The sequence below is a fragment of the Homo sapiens genome, chromosome 6 (genome assembly GCF_000001405.40).
Source record: "Homo sapiens chromosome 6, GRCh38.p14 Primary Assembly".
In the NCBI taxonomy this organism is placed as follows: Eukaryota; Metazoa; Chordata; class Mammalia; order Primates; family Hominidae; genus Homo; species Homo sapiens.
In genome coordinates this window covers 104,117,458-104,124,516 of record NC_000006.12, presented here as the reverse complement: position 1 = coordinate 104,124,516, position 7,059 = coordinate 104,117,458, and the positions used below count along the sequence as shown (strand labels likewise).

The following is a 7,059-nucleotide window of genomic DNA, read 5'->3' as shown; positions in this document are numbered from 1 at the left end:
AAGAAATGCTAACAGGAGATTTTCAAAGTGAAAGAAAAGGACATTAATGAACAATAAAAAACCATCTGAAGGTATAAAACTTACTGGCAACAGTAAGTATACAGAAAAACACAATCTTATAAAACTTATGGTGGTAAACTCATATTGAGTAGAAAGACTGAAAGATAAAATGATCAAAAATAATAACTACAACATCTCAAGACATAGTACACTAAGATATAAATAGAAACAAGAAGTGGGTGTATGAAGTTAAACAAGGTAGATATTTCCAAGATCCAATGGGGATTCAGGCATTGGGTAAATTCTCCCATTCCAATTAGCCAAAAAAAGGGGCTACAGGCCCTTTGCAAGTCTGAAACCCAGCAGGGTAGTCATTAAATCTTAAAGCTCCCAAATAACCTTCTTTGACTCCATATCTCAAAGCAAGGACATACTGATGCAAGGGGTGGGCACTTATTGCCTTGGGCCACTCTGTCCTTGTGGCTCTGCAGGGTACAGCCCCCACAGCTGCCTTCAAGGGCTGACATTGAAGGCCTGTGGCTTTTCCAGGTGCATGATGAACCTGGAATGGTGGATCTGGAATGCACCAGAATGGTGGATCTACCATTCTGGGATCTGAAAAGCAGTGGCCCTCTTCTCACAACTCCACTAGGCAGTTCCCCAGTGAGGACTCTTGGGGGGGGGGAGGCGGGGGCTCTAACCCCACATTTCCCCTCTGTACTGCCCTAGTAGAGGTTCTCCATGAAATCTCCATCCCTGCAGCAGCCTTCTGCCTTGACATCCACGCATTTCCATACATCCCCTGAAATCTAGATGGAGGCTCCCAAATCTCAGCTGTTGCCTTCTGTGCCTCTGTAGGCCCAACATCACATGGAAGCTGCCAAGACTTGGGGCTTGCACCCTCTGAGGCAATGGCCTGAGCTGTACCTTGTCTCCTGTTAACCACAGCTGGAGCTGGAGTGGCTGGGACTGGGGGCACCATGTTCCAAGGCTGCACAGAGTAACAGGGCTCTGGGCCCAGCCCAGGAAACCATTTTTCCCTTATAGGCCTCCAGGTCTGTGATGGGAGGGGCTGCTGTGAAGACCTCTGAAATGTCCTGGAGACTTTCCCAATTGTCTTGGCTATTAACATTTGGCTTCTCTTTACTTAGGCAAATTTATGCAGCCAGCTTGAATTTCTCCTCAGGAAATGGGCTTTCTTTTCTACCACATGGGGAAGCCGCAAATTTTCCAAATTTTTGTGCTTTCCTTCCTTTTTAAAGATAAGTTCCAATTTCAGGCCAAATCTTTCTTCATGCATATGAGCATACATTTTACAAACAGCCAGGTCACATCTAGAGTGCTTTGCTGCTTAGAAATTTCCTCCACCAGATACCCTAAATCATCTCTCTTAAATTCAAAGTTCCAGAGATGTCTAGGGCAGTGGCAAAATGCCACCAATTTCTTTGCTAAAGCATAACAAGGGTGACCTTTACTCCAGTTGCCAATCAGTTCCTCATCTCCATCTGAGACTACTTCAGCCTGGACTTCACTGTCTATATCACTATCCGCATTTTGGTTAAAACAATTCATCAAGCCTCTAGAAAGTTTCAAACTTTCCTATATCTTCCTGTCTTCTTTTGAGCCCTCCAAACTCTTCCAACCTCTGTCTATTACTCAGTTCCAAAGTTGCTTCCACATTTTCAGGTATCTTTATAGTAGTGCTCCACTCGTGGTATCAACTTTTTGTATTAGTCCATTCTCACATTGCTATAAAGAACTAACTGAGACTGGGTAATTTATGAAGAAAAGAGGTTCAGTTGACTCAGTTTTGCAGGCTTAACAGGAAACATGAGTGGGAGGCCTCAGGAAACTTACAACTATGGTGGAAGGCAAGGGAGAAGCAAGCGTATCTTACTATGGCAGAGGAGTGGGGAGAGAGAGAGAGAGATAGAAGAGGGAAGTGCCACACACATTTAAGCCATCAGATCTCATGAGAACTCTCTCACTATCACAAGAACAGCAAGAGGGAACTTCGCCCCCATGATTCAGTCACCTCCCACTAGGCTCCCCTTTCAACATGTGGGGATTACAGTTTAAGACGAGATTTGGGTGGGGACACAGAGCCAAACCACGTCACTAGCAAATCAAATTCAATGACACATTGAAAAAATCATAATCACCAAGTGGGATTTATCCAGGCATGCAAGTATGGTTCAACATATGCAAATCAATAAATTTGATATATCAACCGAATGAAAGACAAAAACCGTAAAATCATTTCAATTGGTGCTGAAAAAGCGTTTGATAAAATTAAGATCCCTTCATGTTAAAAATCCTCAAAGAACTAGGTATAGAAAGAACATACATCAGCACAATATAAGCCATATATGACAGACCCACAGTTAGTATCATTCTGAATAGGGAAAATCTAAAATCCTTCCCCCTAAGATCTGGAATGAGACAAGGATACCCACGTTCACCACTGTTATTTAACATAGTACTGGAAATTCTAGCTAGAGAAACAAGATGAAGAAATCAAGGACATCCAAATTGGAAAAGAAGAAGTTAAATTATCCTTATTTGCAGATGATATAATCTTATATTTGGAAAAAGCTAAAGACTCCACCAAAAAGCTATTAGTAGTGGTAGACAAATTCAGTATGGCTGCAGGATACAAAATCAACATACAAAAATCAGTAGCATTTCTATATGCTAATAGTGAAGAATCTAAAAAGTTGAGAAAGTAATTCCATTTATGATAGCCACAAATAAGAACTAAACCAAAGATGTGAAAGATCTCTGTACTGAAAACTATAAAACATTGATGCAATAAATTGAAGAGGGGACAAAAAATGAAAAGATACTTTATTGTTCATGGGTTGGAAGAGTCAATATTGTTAAAGTGTCCATACTACCCAAAGCAATCTGCAGATTGAATGCAATCCCTATGAAAGTACCAGTGACATTCTCCACAGAGATAGAAAAAATAATCCTAAAATGTATATGAAACTACAAAAGACCTAGAATTGTGAAAGCTATCCTGAATAAAAAGAACCAAACTAGAGGTATCACGTTACCTGACTTCAAATTATACTACAGAGCAATAGTAACCAAAGCAGTACTGTATTGGCATAAACATAGACACATAGATCAATGGAATAGAACGGAGAACCCAAAAACAAATCCATACATCTATAGTGAACTATTTTTTGAGAAAGGTGCCAAGAACATCCATGGGAGAAAGGATTGTCTCTCAATAAATGGTTCTGGGAAAACTGGATATCCATATGCAAAAGAATGAAAGTAAACCCCTATCTCTCACCGTATGCAAAAATAAAATCAAAATGAATTAAAGAATTAAATCTAGGACCTCAAACTATGAAACTATTAAACAAATACTTTGGGGAAACTCTCCATAACTTTGGATTGGGCAAAGATTTCTTGAGTAATACCCCACAAGCACTGGCAACCAAACAAAAGTGGATAAATTATATCACATCAAGTTAAAAAGCTTTTGCACAGCAATCAACGATGTGAAGAGACAACCCATGGAATGGGAGGAGCTATTTCCAAATTATCCATCTGACAAGGGATTAATAACCAGAATATATAAAGAGCTCAAACATCTGTATAGGAAAAAAATCTGGTAATTCCATTTAAAATGGGCAAAAAATCGGAGTAGGCATTTCTTAAAAGAGGACATACAAATGGAAAATGAGTATATTAAAAGGTGCTCAACATCACTGATCATCAGAGAAATGGAAATTTAAACTACAATGAGATGTCATCTCCTGTTAAAATGGTGTTTATCCAAAAGTCAGGCGATAACAAATGCTGGCAAGGATGTGGAGAAAAGGGAAACCTACTTGTTTGCTGCTGGTGGGAATGTAAGTTTAACCACTATGGAGAATAGTTTAACGTTTTCTGAAAAAACTAAAAATAGAACTACCATATGTTTTGCAATCCCACTGCTAGGTAAATACCTAAAAGAAAGGAAATTGGTGTATCAAAGAAATATCTGCACACCCATGTTTGTTTCAGCACTGTTCACAATAGCCAAGATTTGAAAGCAACTCAAATGTCCACCAACAGACAAATTAAGAAAATGTGGCACATATACACAATGGAATACTATTCAGCCATAAAAAAAATTAGATCTTGTCACTTGTAACAACATGGATGGGACTGGAGGTCATTATGTTAAATGAAATAAGCCAGTCACAGAAAGACAAAATTTGCATGTTCTCATTTATTTGGGGAACTAAATTTTAAAAAATTGAACTCATTGAGATAGTAGAATGATGGTTACCAGAGGCTGGAAGGGTATTGGGGATGTGTGTGTGGAGGGGGAATGTGTGTATGGTTAATGAATGTGAAATTATAATTAGAATGAACAAGTTATTCTATTTCATAGTAGAACAGGATGACTACAGTTGACAATGATTTATTGTACATTTCAAAATAACTAAGTATATTTGGATTGTTTGTAATACAAAGAAAGGATAAATACTTGAGATGATAGATACTCCATTTATCCTGATGTGATTATTATGCATTGTATGCCTGTATCAAAATATCTCATGTACCTCATCAATATGTATACTTACTATGTACCCCCAAAAATTAAAAACTAAAATGACTGCTTCTGGAAATTGTACATACCATTTATAGTTATAACTCATTGGTCAAAAATTTAGTCACATGGTCACACCCAACTGCAAGAGGCAGGGATACACATTTTTATGCTTGATAAGAATATACTGAACTAAAATCTAAAGATTCTGTTTTTTTATTAAGGAAAGAAAATGTACAGATATTGGAAACAATCTACAGTTATTGCCACAAAGAAACATACCTGCAATATATGTACACAGAAATGTTGATAGTACAAGAATGAATGTGACTAAAAAATTGAAGTAACTAGAAGTAGCTATAGTAATACAAAACAAAAAGAAATAAAACTTTTGAGAATTAAGGTGACACTATATAATTATATATGGTTTATCATATCAGGAAATATAAATTTTTTTCAACTCATTTGTATTTAGCAATATAGCCTAAAATATATATATATAAAAACCTATCAAAAATATAAAATTAGTCTAATCATTAGGAACAATTATATAAATCAAAATTAAGGATTGTCTTGCAAACATATAGCAATGGCTCTTCAAAATATCAGTGTCATGAAAGACAAAATTTTCTGGGAACTCTTCCAGATTAAAGAAGACTAAAGAGACAGTGGCAACTAAGTGTCATTCATGACCCTTTATTGTTTTCTGAATGAAAAAAAAACTATAAAATTTTAAAAACTATAAAGCCCATTACCAGTGTAATTGTGGAAATTCTAATGTGGACTGTATACTAGATAAATGATTTGTATTTAAATGTTAAATTTCCTAATAACTGTATTATGGTTATGTGGGCTAATTTGCTTGTTTTTAGAACTCAAGGGCAGAAGTATTTAGTGACAAAGCCTCATGACATCTGCCTATCTCTATCACTATCTCTTTCTACACACATACATGCACACACACACATACACACACAATCTATGACATATTAAGCAAAGCAGTACATATGATCACTTTACTCATGTAACTAATGGGCAATTAGCATGCTTTAGTTTTTAACCTCTTTTCCACTGCCAGATTATGGGTGATTTTGCTGAAGCAATTAACTTTCCTGTGTTCTCTTCTTTCTTAAGTATGCTAGTGATTTCTTAAAGGTTTTCCAAGAAATACGTCAATGAGAAAGATCATCCTAGAAAGAGAAAGTCAGGTTTTCTGCCTTAGAAATTGCTATAATCTTCTGGCATTTCTTTTGATTCTGTCTTCTCTAATATATAATGGTAAGCTCCTAATTTGGTCGTTTTTAAATGAGAATTTTCAGTACTTACTAATTTACTTAGCAAGTGTACCAAATTATAGGAAAACACAGAGGTTAATTTCAGACACTATGTTCTTCTTATAGACATAGTTGTCAAAATACTCAAATACTTTTGCTATGATTCGTAATAGCTGCTGACTCAAGTTCCTGCAGTCCCAGGCCTCCTCTCACGCCACTAAAATGCTTCCTGTGTGACCCTAGGACAACTGTGTGACCCATCAACTAAAGGATTGGGTGTAGGTATAACAAGGTCCTCCCAGGGTCCTGCTCAGCCTAAAGTCAGCATCCATGCTGATTGGCCAGTGCTCATGCAGTACCGAGTTTTAGATACTTAGAAGAATGCCTGAAGAAACAATCTTTTAAGGCCTGATATGAAGAAATCTCTTGAAATAAAAAAAGACAAAGTATTAGACCATCTGTTTCACTGTTTTAGTGAAAACAGTATTCACTGTATATGCACCTGCATACACATATCTCATATGGTTATTAGGATATTGGTGATTTCTAAATGAAATTGTTAATCATGAATTATGTGTCATTTTTGTTTCCTTTATACTTTTATGTATTTTAAAAGTTCAACTAGGGCATCTATTTAAAAGTTTAGGTGGTTTTGTCTTTTTTGTTTGTTTTTCTGAAGTCAAATTGCATTTTCCATTGTGGCAAACACTTGTGAAGTTCTATTTTTTTCTATGATAGCAGAATATATCAACATAACATTGGACAAATTAATATCTCCTTAACATTTTAAATTATCTGAAATTTAAAAGACATTGTGAGAGCTGTCTCCCAAGTCCTGTGCCAATAGTCTTTGACTGAGGATACTATATATATTAGTATTACTGTGTTTTATATATATTAAGATATAGTTATGAACTATAGATATGCATACATAAGCTAATGTGTGTATATATGGACATACACATGTTGTTATAAGCTATATGTGAGTATCTGTATGGCAACAACATGGAAAACATGTTTTGAATAATATTGTCTTTTCACCCACACTCAAAGAAGCCTCTCTAGCATTCATACTCACATATCCCAACTTTATATTATTTAATATTTTAAAATTCTTTAATTTTAATTTTATAATTTGATGACGGTATCTCAGTTTTTATTATAAAGTATAATTCTATGTGACTCTAAATCTTGGAAGGATTCTTAGCTTTTCACAGGTGAAATTCGAGG

At 36.0% G+C, this 7,059-nt stretch overlaps 2 annotated features.

The window, feature by feature from the left end:
• Window positions 821-1,374: an enhancer, noted in NCBI's record as "OCT4-NANOG hESC enhancer chr6:104571018-104571571 (GRCh37/hg19 assembly coordinates)". NCBI's record gives its function as "activates a minimal SCP1, AML or CMV promoter by ChIP-STARR-seq in primed H9 embryonic stem cells {active_cell/tissue: H9 hESC(primed)}" and the evidence as "EXISTENCE:reporter gene assay evidence [ECO:0000049][PMID:30033119]".
• Window positions 5,392-6,591: an enhancer, noted in NCBI's record as "BRD4-independent group 4 enhancer chr6:104565801-104567000 (GRCh37/hg19 assembly coordinates)". NCBI's record gives its function as "activates an origin of replication core promoter dependent on BRD2, P300/CBP, MED14 and CDK7 cofactors, and independent of BRD4, by STARR-seq in HCT116 cells {active_cell/tissue: HCT116}" and the evidence as "EXISTENCE:reporter gene assay evidence [ECO:0000049][PMID:35650434]".